Consider the following 17,695-nt stretch of genomic DNA (forward strand, 5'->3'; position numbering starts at 1 on the left):
AGTTTCACCAGCTAGCTCATCTCCTACCCGCCTTGGTGGAAAGAGTTTTTGATCTGGAATTTCTGCTATGTCACTTACAAGCTGTTTGACCTTGACAAATTGCTTAACCTTTCTGAACCTCAATTTCCTCATCTATAAATTAGAGACTATTATCGTACCTACCACCTGGCTATTGTTGGGATTAAATAAGAAAACATATTCTCAAGGGCCTCGCACCAGACGTACTGTGAGAACTCAAGAAGCAGGCGTTGTGATTGTTAATAATAAGTAGAAAGGCACAAAGAGGTGGGAGTGTGTTCTTAGCGAGTCTGCCCCGGGCCAGACCTGTCTGCCCCTGCCTCTCCTGCTCCGGCTGACTTGTCCCAACCTTCCCTGGGCCTCCTCTGCTCTGGAAGGCAAGGATGCGTTACCAGTCATTGTGGATCAAGGCTGAGGCCTGTCTGCTCGTCCCTGTCTCCATGACGACCCCAGCCCCTCCCCTCCTTCCTTCCTCAAGAGCTTTCTGTTTACTGTAAACAGCTGCCCCAGCTCAGCCCTAGCTGATCCCCCCCACACCCAGGGCCAGCCAGACCCTCTTTGAACCCGGCCTGGACTGGTGTGAAGGTCTGCTCACTGCTTCTCGGGCTCCACAAGGCCTCAAACAAACTCTGTGTTTCCACCTTGCCTGGCCGGGAGGGGAGAGGAGGAGGGGAGGGAACTGTTACCTCAGACCAGGGCAGCCAGGGCCTCAGAGACAAGGAACAGATGGGGCGTAATGGAGGAGGACCACACCAAGAGAGTTGGGTGGAGACATCTCTGGCTTGGCCTTAGACTGACCGGGTTCAAATCCTGGCCTAGATTTGCTCACCGCATGACCTCAGGCTGGTCACTTAACTTCTCTAAGCTTCATTCAATTTATCGATTTATAAAATGGAGATAATAATACCTCCCTCAGAGGGTTGGCTGCTGGGCAGATTGGTAATAATGCATGTAAAACCCCTGGCTCAGGTCTTGACACATTGCTAGCCTACAATGGTGGTGGCTGGACTATTATTTCACTTTTCAGGTCCTCTCCTTCTGCTCAGCAACCTTGCATAAATTCCTGCCTGTTCCTTGACCTGGCATGTCTCAATCACACAGGCCTGCACATACATGTGTACTCAGCAAACATATGAGCTGGGTAATGAAATGAAAATTCACAAGCGTATCTGAGGCACAGGAGACTCAATAAGAGCAGAGGAAAAGTCTGTTTCCTAAGCCCTTCCACAGGCCTGAGCTGGGACGTCCATGTGTGCCACCATCACCAGGGCACTATGGCTTCCTCCCTCTTCCTCCATTTGGCCTCCAGGATTGCACCCACCCTCCCTGCCCAGCGGAGCGCAGTGCAGGGATAGAGGGAATGCTGTATGGGATAGCTCCCCTTTCCTGTGGGCCAAGCTTTCAGGGCAAGATGGTCTGGGATGTGGGGCTTCTGGCTCCCAGCTCCTGATGGGTCCAACTTGGCTCCCTTGACTCTCCAGCATCCTTGGAAGTGCTGGCTAATTAATGCTGCCTTGTGAGATGAGATTTAGACCTGCCATTTCGCTTACCACCAGGCCCGCCCAGCAGCCCTGGGGCAGAACCTGGGGTTAAGCAGGGGCATTCATCAATTTGAGTCATTCCCCACAAGCCCATGAGTAAGTATGGTGCTGGATTTCCAGACCCCTGTCCCCTCCCTGAGATGCCTGTTGGGGTCTTCCAGGGCTGGGTCTCTGTTGGTTGCAGGTACAGCCCTGGGGTTCTCTTGAGCAGGGCGTGGCAGCTGCAGGCTTTCAGGCCTAGCTAACTCCACTGCCCCCACATGCTCTTGCCCACAACCAGGTCTAACTCCAGCGTTTGTGTGCTCACCCCAGCCTGGCTGCATGAGAAAGGAGAGGAGCCCCCAGTACTGAAGTCAGCCCCACGGGTTGGGCTGGAAATCCCCCACTTCTTACCTTGGCTGCTTGAGGAAACAGCCTCCCGGCAGAGGGCCGCCTCCCGCCAGGGACTTTTCTCCTGGGGATGACATGGAATGCAGGGCAGCTACAAGGACCCTAGCCTCACTGAGCCACACATCAGCCAGCCTGAGGGGCAGGGGAGTGTGTCGGTCACCCAGGACCACTCTCTCCCTTGCAGGGAGCTTGGCAGCTAGGGTCCTAGAACCCCTGAGACTTACGCAGGCCTAAAGGGGGAACAGGGAGAAGGAGGCCGTGGGGACCAGTGGTGGCCAGGAATATCCAGACTGCTGCGTGGTCCTGTACCTGGAGCGCACCAGCCCCTCCTCCACACTCCCTTCCCCTACCCCAGCACCCAGCCTGAAACTGGCTTCCAATAGGATGTAAAGCCCTCACTGATCTTCCAGGATGGTGGTCTCCAGACTTTTTTTTTTTTTTTAAACAGATGGGGGTCTCACTATGTTGCCCAGGCTGGTCTTGAACTTGGGGCCTCAAGAGATTCTCCTGCCTTGGCCTCCCAAATTGCTGAGATTACAGGCGCGAGCCACTGTGTCTGGCCTCCCAAACTTTTTTGATTGTGAATATTTATGCATAGATTATACACTACAGTCAAAACACATATTAAATATTATTTATTTTAAAACATTATTTATTATTAAATATTTTATTTATTTATATATTTTTTGGAGATGGAATTTTGCTCTTGTTGCCCAGGCTGGAGTGCAGTGGGGCAGTCTCAGCTCACTGCAACCTCCGCCTCCCAGGTTCAAGCGTTTCTCCTGCCTCAGCCTCCCGAGTAGCTGAGATTACAGGCGCCCGCCACCACACCCAGCTAATTTTTTGTATTTTTAGTAGAGACTGGGTTTCACCATGTTGGCCAGGCTGGGCAGGCTGGTCTCAAACTTCTGAACTCAGGTGTTCCACCTGCCTCAGCCTCCCAAATTGTTTTTTAATTAAAAAATAAATCAAAATAGAAATCATATTTCCTCCCATCCCCCCAACAAATGCCTCACTGGCCCCATATAGGCCACTGTGGAGCCCACTGTGTAGATAGAGGAAGGCAGGAGAGCCTCTCGGAGCAGACCATCACCCTACAAGAGGATCCAGGGCCTGAGGGGGCAAATGATTTTCTTAATCCATTGCCAACCACAATCGAGTAACCCACATCTGAAGCCGTTCTATTTGTTGTTGTTAACTTGAAAAGAAACTTGGTCATCTTAGGCAAGGCCCTGTTGCTGTGGTGGTTGTGCTGCCAGTTCCTACCCCAAAGGCCCAGGCAGCCTGTCCCATCCTAGGACCGCAGCACCCAACGTAGAAAGTGAGAGTTTATCGAGGAAGAACACCCAGCCTGTGTGTGTGTGTGTGAGTGTGTGTGCGTGTGTGTGTGACTGTGAGTGTGCGACTGTGTGTGCGACTGTGTGTGTGTGACTGTGTGTGACTGTGTGTGTGTGTGCGCGACTGTGTGAGTGTGACTGTGTGTGAGTGTACGACTGTGTGTGACTGCGTGAGTGTGTGTGTGTGACTGTGAGTGTGTGTGACTGTGTGAGTGTGTGTGCGACTGTGAGTGTGTGACTGTGTGTGACTGAGTGTGACTGTGTGTGTGTGTGAGAGTGTGTGTGAGAGAGAGTGTGTGTGTGCACATGTGTATGTGTGCATGCACGTGCTGGCCCAGAGTGTGTCATTCTAACAGAACCTGCCCGGTGATGGCCTCTGCTTTCTGGTCTGCTCGTCTTGGAGGCCCCACTTGTGTCACATAGGTACTGAGACACCTGCATTAACCCTTCTGACGGAGTCATAAGAACCCCTGACATTGAATTAGAATCTTTCTCTCGTCTACATCCTCACCACATGGCTGTTTAGGTAGGTGAGGCAGGCATCAATTTGTCCATGGTGGCGGGCAGGGGGCGCCCACGGCACAGAGAGGTTTGGGGAATTGCCCAAAGTCACACCATCTAGTGGAGCTGGGTCTCGCGTGTGCTCCCACCCTTCCTAGGTGTCTTTACTCATGTTCTGCCATCCTGGTCCCACAGGGCTGCTTGACCGTTCAGAATTCTGGCCTGGGAAGAATCAGTTCCCAAGGGCCATGGGACCTCTCTCCTGCAGCTGGGGGGCAGCCTGCCCTTCCTGCCCCACTAGAGAGAAGGCAAGCCCAGGACCCTCTCCCTATCCTTGGACATGTGGGCCCGTGGATAACAATCTTCGCAGGAGCAGGGTCCCTGACGGTAGAGGAGAGAGGCCTGACTTTCCTGCCAAGGCCAGAGTTGCCCCTGGCTCCAGCTCGCCTGGCTGGATCTGGGTCCAGGGCTTCCTCCTTCATTCAAAAGCTCGGCCCTCTGAGGGTGGCAGTGGGGGAGGGGGAAGGGCTCAACCTCCAGCCCCCTCCCCCCATCACTGACAGCTGTAATCTGCTTGGGAAAATCTCTTTTTTTTTTTTTTTCTGCACAGGAAAAAATATTAGTTGTCCCGATAACAAGGAAAACAAAATCTAGCGCAGGGCATCAGAGACTTCCTGAGGCGGGAAACAATGTCCAGTGGAGAGATCAGTGGAGACGGCCCAAGCTGGGAGGCTGAGGGGGAGCTGAGAGAGGACTCTGGTCCAGTCCTATCCGGCCAGGGGGGAAGGGGATGACAGATCGAGGAACTTGGAAAAAAGATTTCCCCCCAAAACCTTGAAGTCTGGGCTGTTGAGCTATATCCGGGAAATGATTCAGGACCAGAGCACGTCCCTGCCTGGGGCCAGGCCCCATTGGCTCAGGTGCTCCGGGTCTACCTTTTTTCCCTCCCAGTCCCCTGCCTGCTCTCCCAGGTGCTACCCCAGGCCTGGGGGCCTGGAGAGTGAGACAGTAGGGTCCCTTCGGAGGTGGTGGATGAGGCCACGGGTGCCCCATAGGCAACCCCCGCCCCCTGCCCCTGGGGCATCTTGCCTTATCTGCCCACAGCTGCTTCCCTGAGGAACTTTCCACTAAGGGAGGGGGGTCAAGAAGAGGAGGACCTCTCCAAAGGCCCAGAGACTCTGGTCCCCTCCACCTCTACCAGGAGACTGTGGCAGTGGGCAGCGGCTCCAGGAGCTTGCACTGGGGGGGCTTATGATGGAGGGGCTCCAATCCCAGCTGCCTAGTCGTGGGTGCCGGGACACTGGGCTGTTGGGTCCAGTGGGCGTGGCCTCTGAGCACTGTGGGCCTCAGCGAAGGGACAGGAGGAGGAACAGGAGGCCCTGTGCTTCCAGATAGCAGTATCCCTCAACCCTGGCTGCACACTGCGTCACTGGGGAGCTTTTGGAAAATACCAGTGCCTCCAAGGCCTCATCTCAGAACAGTTCTATCAGGGTGCCCACAGGAGCTGCTCAGGTGATCCTTGTGCATGGCCAGGGCGGGCGGAGAACTCCTGCTCCATGGCCCTGTAACCCTTCAGTCACTTTCTGGCTGGCCCCCTCCACCTCTGCCAGCAGAACTGGCCCCTCCATTTCAGATTGGAGCCCCTCAGAGATGCCCACCTAGCCGGTGGCTGCCCGAGGTGCCCACAGAGTTCCCTGACCCAGCTGGAGGCCAGTTGCCCAACCCAATAGCAGGTTCTGGGTTACCCCCGCTCCCTCCTTCTGCTCCTTCTCTTTCCCCCTGGGCAGTGATGCTGGGGCCTTTGTTCTCGGCCAACAGGAGTGTGACCAGAAACCTACCCGCAGTTTAATTACAGTCCCACTCAGTGGCCATAGGCTGGCCACCGTCCTCACTCAGCCTGTAGCTAGGCCAGCCCGGCGCAGCTCCTCCCCACATCCCAGGGTCATGCCAGCTTTGTTCTCAGGAGGACCTGGTACTCCTTCCCTCACAGTGCCCTCAGCCCTTGCTCTGCACAAGGCCCTTGGGGAGGTGCAGAGGGAGGCCTGGGCTCTGAACACAGAAGCTGGGACCTTCCCCAAGCACGGGGGACCCTGACAGGGTGCTGACGCTGTTGCTTGCTGAATTGTGGGCTGACACGGTAAAATCCTTGAAGTCAGAGAGGTGATTTCTGGTTCATTTTTGATTGGTTACAAGCATGTACCAGTCACCTACTAAGCACTGGGTCTGTGGGGGGATATGCAGAGAGAGAAAGTCATAGTTCCTGCTCTCCAAGGCCTTTTCAAGGCAGAGGGAAGGGCAGTGCTTACAGTAATGGGCTACCACAAGGTAGTACCGTTTATATTCCCCGCAACCTCTCCAGGAACTCCCCACTGCCATGGCGGAGGGAATATTGTTAAGTGAAATATGTTAAGTGAATATTTGTTACTTAAGTAGAGCATAGAATGTCCCTTCCCTGGCATTACAGATAGAGGGAGACATCTTAGGGGTCAGGGACAGAATGAGTTTCAATTGCATCAAATGTTGGAGAAGCCCAGGCGCGGTGGCTCACACCTGTAATCCCAGCACTTTGGAATGCCGAGGGAGGCAGATTGCGTGAGCCTGGGAGTTCGAGACCAACCTGAGCAACATGGCAAAACCCCATCTCTACTAAAAATACAAAAAATTAGCTGGGTGTGGTGGTGGGCACCTGTAGTCCCAGCTACCTGGGAGGCTGAGGTGGGAAGATCACCTAAGCCTGGGAGGTGGAGGCTACAGTGAGCTACGATTGTGCCACTGCACTCTAGCATGGGTGACAGAATGAGAGCCTGTATATATATTAAAAAAAAAGCCATGTTGGACGAGAGAGGGGATGGAATGAACCTGGACCTGCAAGCTGGCCATAGAGGAGAGCTCACTAAGATCCCTTTTGGTTCTTGGCCGCGCTGTTACTAGCTGAGGGGGCTTGCAAGTCCCTAGGGTCTGCCTAGAGGTCCTGTGGGTTACCACCCCCTCTGCTCAAGTGATCTTGCCCACCTGGAGGTTCACCAAAGCCTGAGAAGCAGGACCGCAGAGCAGGCTTTTTTCTCCTCTTGAGGGGGGCTTCTTGCCCTAGGATTCCCAGGGGTCTCCCCTTTCCCCCTAGAGGAGCCCAACACAGCCCTTTCGCCATCACAGTATTTTCCAAACAGGTGGAGGATGCTGTGGCCCAGTAGCCACCTGGCTGCGGAGCGGGGAAGCCCAGTGCACGTCCCTGGGGCTTCTCTCAAGCTGCGGCCGCTCCTTACGAGCTTAGGCTCTAACCCTTGGCCTGGGCAGTGGGCAATAGCTTCAGGAGCTTGGAGTGAGGGGGCTTATGAGGGAGGGGGCCCACTCCCAGCTGCCTAGCTGTGGGTACTAACAGGCCACGCTGGGGCGGGGTCGGGGGGGCAAATAGATTGAGGGGGGGCACCACCACCTGCTTTTCCTTGTTTTGTTTTCAGGGCACTAATTACTGTGCTGAGCTCCGAGCTGCCTAATGAGGCCGTTTGGATTTCCTGTTGTTCTGGCTTCCCAAGACCCTTAAAGGGCCAGCATGGAACTAAGAGTGTGATCTGGGTGGGACACCAACTGCTCTGGTGGAGGTAAGCACAGAGGGGCTATCCCCAGATTTGGCCTGAATGCCGGGGGCAGTGAGCGGATGAGAGGCTGGTCCAGTTCGCTGCTCCCACGCCCTCTATGAGTACCCGCTCAGAAGTGCCCATGCCGGAAGCAGGAGCTTCAGGGCTGCATAGCCTGGCCAGGGCATGGGGTGGGGAGGGGGAGGCAAGGAGGCCAGGGCTGAGGAGGAAAGGCTGGTGATGTCACCAGTGCCCAGACTGTGAGAACCGCTGCAGCACCAGGCAGGAGGGAAACGCTGTGATGTCCTGCCTCCCCACTGGAAAATAAACACTTGTTGTCTGAGCGGCCAGCACCACTTCCAGAGGGGCAGGCTGGCGAGCCTAGGGGCCCAGAAACAGGCTCGGGCCCAGTGTTGGGCAGAGATCTTTGCCCAGGCTGGATGCAGGAGGGTCAGGCTGCCCCCAACCTAGCCTCGCTGTTGCACACCACCCAGCAAGGCTCATGGGCTGCGCCGGTCCCCTCTGCACCTTAGGGCTCTTCTGTGCATGCAGAGGAGCTGAGCATGGCTGGGGATGCCAGGAGCCCACTTCCTTAATGGACTGGCCGGGCAGGAGGGCACTCATCTGCCTGCCTGTGTCTGCCTCCTATTTGGGGCACAGCCTCCGCCCCAGGACCTATCCCAAGTGCCCCTCGCGCTGCCTCAGGCTGTGAGTCCCCTGGGCCCCTAGTATGCCTGGCCTGCAGCACCCTCCCCCCCAGACAGGGTGACGACATTGTTGTTCTTATACGGGGCCTTCCGCCTGAAGTTCCGGCTCTGCTAAATGGTGGGAATGAGGGTCCACGGGACAAAGCCAGCCTGGTTCCCGCAGCCACCTCAGAATGGACGGAATCCCCATTGTGTGCGGGCGCCTTGTGCCCACCCTCCCCTTACCCTCGCCGGACGTTGCCAACAAACAGCTCATTGAGCCCAGGGAGGGGCCCAGGAGACAACAATGTCCCCCAGCCGGCCAGAGCAGTGAACTCAGCTAGGGGTGGGAGCTGCCACGGAGGCTGGAGGGTGATGATCTCAGCCTGGGAGACCTGAGTCTGACCTGGGTCTGGTCTCCCTGGTGAGGGTGAGAAGGGCTGACCTGGCGGCCTCACCCTGGCTGCTCCACCCCCAGCTTGAGCTGGAAGGTTCTCGTGGCCCAGCCTAGGGGACCAAGCAGGCTGTCCACAGGACCCAGCAGAGCCATCCCAGGCCCAAGGGGCTAGTGGACCCTCCCTCTTGCAGTGCCATTCTGGAATTCCCTCCGCAAGGCCTAGACCAAAGCCCTCTCAAACCATCAGCCCAGTGCCAAGCATGTGTCAGGACTTTCAGATCCACAAGAGGCTGCACTTTCTATAACCAGAACCATCTAAAGAGCATGGGACAGCCTGGAGAGGGGGTGAGAGTCCTGTCCCCAGAGGTATTCGAGTCATTAGTTATTGAATATGGTGTTGGTCCAAGTGCCCTTCAGAGCTCACCTCACCCTGAGCTTCTAGACATAGGGCCCCAAGTCATTCCCCCAAGGTACCTCTGGACTCCCTTTTTGCTTTCCAGGCCCGATCCAACCTTTCTCCTCTTCCAGGCAAGTCTGGGCTGCCAGGAAGGGCCTCGGGCTTCTAAGGGGAAAGAAGGCAGGGGAGAGGGCTGGCCAGGAGAGCAAGGAGGCAGGGGAGAGGGCTGGCCAGCCCAGCAGCATGGCTGAAGCTGCCTCCACTTTCAGTATGGTTGCCCGGGAAGCCCTGATGCCAGTCTCATGTTTGCAGGGGACTATCTGGAAAGCAGAGGGTGAGAGGAGAGAGAAGCTGCTTTCAGGGAAAATGTGGAGTCTATCTCAGCCAGTCATCAGGCCTCTGGCATTCTCAGGTGCCCCACCATCTATGCATAGGAGCTGCCAACTCAGGGACAGGACTCAGAAATAAGTGCTCACCTGGTCACCAGCCACAGATATAGAAATGTTCCTAGCTGCCTCTGGCCTTCTTTCTGTACCTCCCTGCTCCAGACTACCCTGCATACCACTGCCAGAAAGCATGCAGACGGCACTCTCCTCTGCTCAAGAACCCACAGGCTCCCTAGTACCTATCAATCAAATCCAAATTCATCTGTCTGGTGGGTTTCCATGCCATAGCTATGTAACTTCATGTCCACCCTCCATAGGTGAAGTCTCTGCCCCAGCCATACTTGGTTCATTTGCACCCAGATCCTTTGCCTCTCTTCATTCTCTTGTCCTTTTTTTTTTTTTTTTTTTTTTTTGAGATGGAGTCTCGCTTTCTCACCCAGGCTGGAGTGCAATGGCACGATCTTGGCTCACTGTAACCTCTGCCTCCCAGGTTCAAGCAATTCTCATGCCTCAGCCTCCCAAGTAGCTGGGATTATAGGCGCCCGCCACCACGCCTTGCTAATTTTTGTAGTTTTAGTAAAGACGGGGTTTCACCATGTTGCCCAGGCTGGTCTCCTGAGCTCAGGCAATGAGCCCGCCTTGGCCTCCCAAAGTGCTAGGATTACAGGTGTGAGCCACCGCGCCCGTGCCCCCACCCCCTTCTCTTTATCTAAATTCTGTTCTTTTTCCAGGCCCAGTGTCATCCCTCCTCCCCTACAAAGCCTCCTGTGACCCTCGGGGCCCCAGTTGCTCTCTGAAGCCTGGTTCCACAGGTCATCACACTCCTTTTCATGTGCTTCTATCTAATTTCCAGCTGCTGTGAGCAACAAGGGCTGAATTTTATGTTCCTGTGTGGCCTTACTAACCTGAGCCCAGTGCTAGGCACATGGTAGACCTCATCCACAACTGAGTGGCTGATGGACCCAAACTCTGCACATGCACATCACACACACACAGGGGTCCTGGGAACACTAACCATGGGGCCCATAGGGCCATGCCCCAGATAGAATGCACCTTTTGCATGCCTTCTCTTCTCTTGGTGATGGTTTTGATAGACTTGTCCCAGGTCTCCCCAGTTTCCTCCTCACCTGGAGAAAGACTATAGTAAGGGGGTGGGGGTTAAGCCACAGGAGGAGAGGAGGGGAAGCAGGAGAAGCACTGGGAAGCACAGGGATCTCAGCAGCCACAATGGCTCCAACAATAGCAGTGTTCACGCTGCCCAAGCAGGACTCATGAGACTGGGGCAAGTGGGCCCAAGTGTGGATGCCTATTTCTTTTTTTTTCTTTTTGAGACAGAGTCTTGCTCTGTTGCCCAGGCTAGAATGAAATGACACGATCTCGGCTCGCTGAAACCTCCGCCTCAATGGTTCAAGGGATTCTCCTGCCTCAGCCTCCCAAGTAGCTGGGATTATAGGCGCCCACCACCATACCCAGCTAAGTTTTTTTAACTATTATTTTTAGTAGACATGGGGTTTTGTCATGTTGGCTAGGCTGGTCTTCAAACTCCTGGGCTCAATGATTTGCCCACCTCGGCCTCCCAAAGTGCTGGGATTACAGGTATGAGCCACCATGCCTGGTTGATGCCTATTTATTTTTTTATTTTTATTTTTATTGTTATTGAGACAGAGTTTCGCTCTTGTCACCCAGGTTAGAGTGCAATGGCTTGATCTCGGCTCACTGCAACCTCTGCCTTCCGGGTTCAAGCGATTGTCCTGCCTCAGCCTCCCGAGTAGCTGGGATTACAGGCGCCTGCCACCACGCCCAGCTAATTTTTGTGTTTTTAGTAGAGATGAGGTTTCGCCATGTTGGCCAGGCTGGTCTTGAAGTCCTGACTTCAGGTGATCCATCTGCCTCGGCCTCCCAAAGTGCTGGGATTACAGGCGTGAGCCACTGCGCCTGACTGATGCCTGTCTATTTCTAAACATACAGAGTTGGTGGAGGCTGTTACTGAAACCCCTGGTGCTAAACACCCTGACTACATTGTCACTTGGGAGATTCTCTATGAGCTCCCAGATCTTAAATCCAGCCTGCCCCTTTGCTGCAGTTTGTGTGGCTGGACAGCTCCACTGGGCTTGATTTTCTGAGAGTGGCACCCAGAGGGGTGGGGGCAGGAGAAACAAAGTGAGTTTGGCTCACAGTGGTCTAAACATTGTCCAGAAAACTCCTTGGGTCTCCCAGGGAGCCTAGCTCCTGGTGCCTCCAGGTCTCTCTGGACTTCTTCCCTGGGGAAAGTCTAGACACGAGGAGAATTCTCTGGCCTGGGGTTTCTTTGCTAATCACAGGCAAGGCAGGTTACTCATTAGCAAGCATCAACGTGCAATTCTCATCAGTTCAGGGGAGAGTTCAACCTGGATTGACAGCTGGGATCCACTGTATAGACACTCGGTCACAGGAAGTTCTCCCATACGTCTAACCTAAATCCTTCCTGCCACAGTTGAAGCCTGTTTCCTCTCATTCTGACTGTGGTGGGAGAAGGAGACAGCCGGTCATCATCCTCTGCTTAAGACCCAGCACCTACTTGACCATGGCAGTGGGATTCCTCCCCAGCCTTCTCCAGGGAACAGTGGCCTGCCTGCTCAGGCCGTTGTTCACAGTTGGCACCTGTCCCCCGACTCTCCCCGTTTCTTCCTCTGTGTCTGAGAGTATTTGAAACAGTACTTCCTGGTTCAGGATTGACCCTTCTTTCCAGGGAGTCTGCGGGGGAGCAGGGCCGATCTGAGTACAGCCCACTCCCAGGTTGCCCCAGCGGGAGAGAGTGAGGTGTGGCCCCATCCCCGCCTCGTGCTTGCTTCAAGTCCTGGGTGGCAGCTGGGATCAGAGATCAGAGGCTATGTGGAGAAATGAGGAAAGGTCAGGGTTTCTTCCAGGAGATGAATTGTCACTCAGTAGGGGGAAGGCAGAGGACACGCAAGGACCTGGGGACGCCAAGGGATTGGGGAAATCATGGGCCTGGATGCTAATGGAAGGCCAGAGCCAGAGGAGGGGTGTGAGGCTGAGGGGGAAGGTGGGGCTGGGAGAGCTTCCCAGCTGGCAAAGGTCACAGAGGAAATAGGTTTCAGGGATGGGCAACCAGTATCCTGAGAGGGGGCAAGAGGAGAGGACAGTGAGGTGAGCACGGCCAGGGTGGAGGATGAGCAGGTAAGGAAGCTTTTACAGGGGAAGCAAAACCTCAGGGTAGGGAGGCAGGTCCAAGAGGGTGGCTGAACCCCTGCTTTCAGCTCAGGCTCTGCCCCCCACCCCACCATGTCCTTCAGCACAAGTTCTCTTTTGCCCCAGTGACTCCCAGCAAGGCTTCGCCCTGTGCCCTCCATTCTCTGACCCTACAAGACCTCTTAGAGGCCTCTGAGCCCTATAGGATCCAGGTGGGGAGGCAAGGGCAGGCTCGGGCCAGGCCTCCCACCCGGGGGTCTTCATGCAAGGCTGCCCTGAGCCTTCCCTCCCTTCCCCTGAGCCTCCCTGCTTGCTGGCTAGGGTAGGGACAGGAAGGAGCTAGGGAAGGGGAAGCCGGGGGCTCTGGGAAAGTTGCTGCGGAGGCTGCCCTAAACCCTGGCCTGCTCCGTGGCTGGAAATACCCACTGCGTGGCTCCTGGCCCTAGCTTTCCAGGCATTCCCTGGGTTTGGCAAATGAAGCTGGGGCAGCTGCCGGGTCACCGTAACTCTAGCCCTTGCAGCCAGGCCTATCTAGGCTTCTCCAGCTGGCAGGTCTTCACTCTGCCCCCTCTTCTTTCTCTCCTGCTGACCAGCACCCAGAAGGCCTGGAGAGAATGTCTGCCGGCCATGAGTCATGGTTAGAAGATGCTTCTCATGTGGCGAACCCTCAGCTTCTCTTCTCTTGGGCCCATGGTCTCCGCAGACCCAAGCTGTTCTCCTCCAGAAGAAGAGGGCCCAGTCCATACCAGTTACCGCAGTCCCAGGCATCTCCTGCACTGGGGCTTCTGAGAAGGCAAGGGAGACAGTCTGCAACTAGCCTAGGCCCTCGGGCTCCTGGGGAACATGGGAGGAGGAGAGGGGAGGCCCTCCTGGTCTTGTGAGAAGCAAGAGCAGGGACTCTGTCTCCTGCCAAGGGTCCCAACCACTTGGACATCCCTTCCTTGGCACATTTGGGTCATCAGTCATGAGCCATCAGCCAGTGGATGGTCCAGCCCGGTCAGTGTGCTGTCTTGGTGACACAGAGAGGGCTGATCTGCCAGGAGCTTCAAGGACCAGGGCAGAAGATGCCCCTCTTTCCTGCCACAGGTCTCAGCTCTGAACTGCCACCATGAAGGAGGAGGGGTTACAATTTGAAACCTACACTTGGCCCTGGCAGGAGTGCCGTCTTGGTTTCCGAAGGCCAAGACTGTGAGCAGTTAGTTCCTCCAAACCTTCATATCTTCCCCAAACCCATTCTCAAAGCTCCAGTCTTCTCCCTCCAGTCAAGAACTTTGTCACACCCTCTTGCCACAAACAGGACCTCCAACAGTTGGCTTTTTCCACAGGGTCCGGATCCCTTCCGAGCCCCACCTAGCTTTCCTCTCTTTTTTCCCCACCCTCTGCTCCTCATGCCTCATCCCTTATGAGCATTTGTCTGCGGTTCTCCTTTTTCCTTCATTTCCTTCTGGAACTCATTTGCAGTCAGGGAGCTCCCCTCCACTCTAAGTCTGCCCCTGACTGTCTGGATGTCACCTGGGGGAAAGGAAATGACTGTTTATTGGGTCCCATGAATGCATAATCTGATACAGTCCCTCAGCCACTCTCCAAGGCTCCAAGGTTATTATTATTATTATTATTATTATTATTATTATTATTATTATTAGAGACAGAGTCTCATTCAGTCGCCCAGGCTGGAGTGCAGTGGCATGATCTCTGCCCACTGCAAACTCCGCCTCCCAGCTTCAAGCAATTCTCCTCCCTCAGCCTCTTGAGTAGCTGGGATTACAGGCAAACACCACCATGCCTGGCTACTTTTTGTATTTTTTTTTGGTAGAGACAGGGTTTCACCATGTTGGCCAGGCTGGTCTCGAACTCCTGACCTCAAGTGATCTGCCCTCCTCAGCCTCCCAAAATGCTGGGCTTATAGGCATGAGCCACCACACCGGCCATCCCTATTATTATTATCCCATTGCACAGATGAGAAAACTGAGTGTAGAGCTAGAGTTAGGTTACAAGCCCAAGACCACATGGTTAGGAAGTGCCAAGAAGCAGGTCCATGTCAGGCTTATTCACCAGACTCACCTGGAGGGTGGGGAGAGACTCGTTCCTCCTGCCTCCTCCCCATCTCTGCTCAGTCCCCCTGACCAAGATTCTTCAGAGTTCGGTGTCCCTCAGCGCCCATGCCCTACCCCTTCCTTCTCACCGGGGCCCTTCTTATCATCAGTCACTGCATCCTGTTCCTCCCTTGAAGCCCCCAGATGAGTTCTCAAGGCCACCACCAAGTCATCACCTTCCTCACTCCTCTCTCCAGTCTCAGGCCTGTTCTATGGGGAACCCACTCTGTCCCGCGGGAAAAACCCTCAGCAGGCGGTTCCTTGTGGGGGCTCCAGAGAGAGGTGAAGGAGGCCACGCGGGGCACCGCCTGCTGAGCGGGAATCCCGTCCCTAACCGCTGGCGCCCCTCGAGGGGAGGGGCGAGGGCGGAGGTGGTTCTGCTGCGGCATCTGTCCCAGGCGGGCGGGAAGCTGCTGCATTAAATTGTAAAATCGATTTATTGACCGGCAGGTGCGAGCAGCGGCAGATGGAGAGTAGCCCTGCCGGGGCGCATCTGCGGGGAGCGGCGGCATCGATCCCGGCCCCCCTCTGAAACCCGTCGGTCCTGGGCCTTTCTCGCCAGCTCACTCCCAATTGTAGGGCCAAGGTCCTTGAAACTGCGGCGCCTGAATGGCTAGGGTAGCTCGACTCCCTCCCCCAACACCCTCCTGGCCTCAGGCCCCGGGCTGCGCCCCCACGGCTGCCAGGCTCTGCCAGTCCCACTGCCCCAGTTGGCACGCGGCGGGCCGGGCTGACGCGTGGCAGCGCCCTGCGGCAGATGAGGCACGCGCCGGCCTCATTTCAATGTGAATGGATCGAATGGAGCAGCCATGTGGCAGCAACAGTTTGCAAATCTCCACGCCTTCTGTGCAGCTCCCCGGCCGCCGCTCCCTGCACGTGGCCCCTTCTCCGCAGCGACCGCAGCGGCGCCCCTCAAGGCTTAAGCGCCCCGCCCAAGCCAGGCCTGCTTCCCCGCCCCTGGTCTGCCCAGCAGGCACGGTGGCCCGGCCCCCACCGCGCTCCTACCCGGGTGCAGTGTGCCCCGCGAAGAGCGCCGTCCCCTGAGAGGGGGTTGGGGAGAGGAGAGGCAAAACCGCGCTGAAGGTCTCGGAGCTGCGCCTGCGGCCGTGGGGAGGGCACAGAGGCTACGCTGCGGGGGAGGAGTCCCGAGGCTCTACGAGGCTCCTGTTGCGCCCCAATAACCTGGGGTCAGCTTGGGGACACCGCTGGAAGGCGACCTTAGCGCTTCCCGGTCCTCAGTGCCGGTTCTTATGGCTGGAGGACTATGCGCAATGGCCAAGCGTAGGGGGACAGCAGAAGCAGAAGGCCTCTAGGGGCAGAGGCGGTGGGCCTTTCATGAAGCCAGGCCTCGACCCTGCGCCCGCTTCCGACGTTGGGGAGTGTTGAGGGTGCGGGTCGAATTGAGGAACCCTGGGCCTGCGGAGGGTCAGTGGTCTTTCGGACTCTGGGTCTATCTGTGCACCCTTTCCATGCTGTTGTGGAGGGTCTGCGTCAGGGGCGGGGGCAGCCGACTTCGATGGGGGTCCAGCCCCACGGTGATCGGTGGCCTCCCATCCCAGGACCACGCGTGTAGCGTTCTTCCGCCCGCAAGTCCGAAAGTCCCGAGTGGGAGAAGAAGGAAGGCGCAGCCCCAGTTTTGGGCTGACAGAAACACTTGCGGCCTTCGCACTGGGCTCCCCACCCGCAGCATGACCCTCTCCTGCTCAGCAAATGTGGGCAAAGCTCGACCGCAGCGTGTGGGAGCGCTCGTAGGTACCCAGGGCCAAGGGTGGCAGTGTCCTAGCCCGGGAATGAGCTTCTGGGACAGCGCCTCCGCAAATAGGTGTTTCATGAATGTCTTTTGATGCTGAGAATTTAACCCTTTCCTCTTCTGGTCAGAGCCTTTCTAGATCTCTGGGATCTCCTGGGTGCTGCCTCTCTGAAGATAATAATCCCAACTTTTGTTTGGTCCTTGATAATTTGCAAAGTACATTTGGGCACATTAGTCTGGGCGTGTATGAGGGTAGAGAGTGTTCCAGATTTTCCAGTATTGGGAGAGATGCCTTGTGTGGGACTAGATGTCTCCCTTGAGGGTCAGGTAAGCAGGACCAGCGCCAGAAAAGGAGGATGTTTTTATTAACTCCTGGGCCAGGATTTGGAGTTGAGAGAGGACAGGGCTAGGTAGGGCTGGATGCCAGCTTGGAGGGGAGCAAGGGGCACCCGCTGGCATCTTAGAGAGGCAAGTCCAGGGATCCATAGGGTATAGGCGGAGAGAAGATCTGGGAGCCCACTTGCCAGGATCGCCGGGAGGCACGCCCCGGACTCCCCCTCCCTCGGGCCTGGGACTCCGCCTGCCCATAACCTACATTAACTCCCGAGCGCAGCCTGGGCCCATCTGCCGCCCCGCCCCACCTCGGTTCCCCACGCCAACCCGCTCGCGCCAGATGGTGGCTGGGAGGGGTGGCCGTGCGTGGGGGACCCCGGAGCCCGTCTCCTCACCTCGCCCCTCCCCCAACCCACGCTCCCAACCTCTTGTTTCTCATCCTTCCCCCCCCCACCACACCCGTCCCCCAGTCCTCCACCACCACCACCCAACTCAAAAAAAAAAATCAGACCATGCTCGGCATTGGCAGCTGTTGGGCTTCTCGCCGCTCCCCCACCCTTACCGCCTCCCCCGGGTTCGCGCCGCGTCCCGGCTCCCCCCCCGCGCTGATCTTACCGCCCGACTACAGCCATCACCTCGCGGGCGGGCTGACAGCTGAAGCCACAGGGCCCCCGCTGCCCTCGGCGTCGCAAAGAGAGAGCTCCCCGGCACCCCTGAGACTGGGAGAAGCCGGCCCTCCCCGGTCTGCGGTCTCCGGGGATCACGCCGGGTTCCGAGAAAGCAGCTGCGCTGCTGCCGCTTGGAGGAGTGGGGCCACCCAGGGGACCCTCTCGGGCGAGACTTGGGAAGCCGCCTGAAACTCAAACAGCTCCGCAAGCCTCCAGTTCCACCCCACATCCCGCCTTATGAGGCGAGGACCCGGGCCGACCCGGCCTCAGTCCCTCACCTTGATTCTCCAGTGGCCTGAGCCAACTCTGGCGTCAGGAGAGTTCCTCCTTGCCCCAGCTGAGCGACAGGGCGCGGCCGGGGGCTTGGGGCTGCTGGGGTGGGGGGAGGCAGTGGGCGCAGGAACTGAAGCTGGACTCAGGTGAGGGGACGCGCT

The 17,695-nt window shown here is 56.7% G+C and overlaps 2 annotated features.

The window, feature by feature from the left end:
* Positions 4,511–5,178: an enhancer, noted in NCBI's record as "H3K4me1 hESC enhancer chr15:41207495-41208162 (GRCh37/hg19 assembly coordinates)". NCBI's record gives its function as "activates a minimal SCP1, AML or CMV promoter by ChIP-STARR-seq in primed H9 embryonic stem cells {active_cell/tissue: H9 hESC(primed)}" and the evidence as "EXISTENCE:reporter gene assay evidence [ECO:0000049][PMID:30033119]".
* Positions 14,400–15,245: an enhancer, noted in NCBI's record as "H3K4me1 hESC enhancer chr15:41217384-41218229 (GRCh37/hg19 assembly coordinates)". NCBI's record gives its function as "activates a minimal SCP1, AML or CMV promoter by ChIP-STARR-seq in primed H9 embryonic stem cells {active_cell/tissue: H9 hESC(primed)}" and the evidence as "EXISTENCE:reporter gene assay evidence [ECO:0000049][PMID:30033119]".

The sequence above is a fragment of the Homo sapiens genome, chromosome 15, assembly GCF_000001405.40.
Source record: "Homo sapiens chromosome 15, GRCh38.p14 Primary Assembly".
Taxonomy (NCBI): Eukaryota; Metazoa; Chordata; class Mammalia; order Primates; family Hominidae; genus Homo; species Homo sapiens.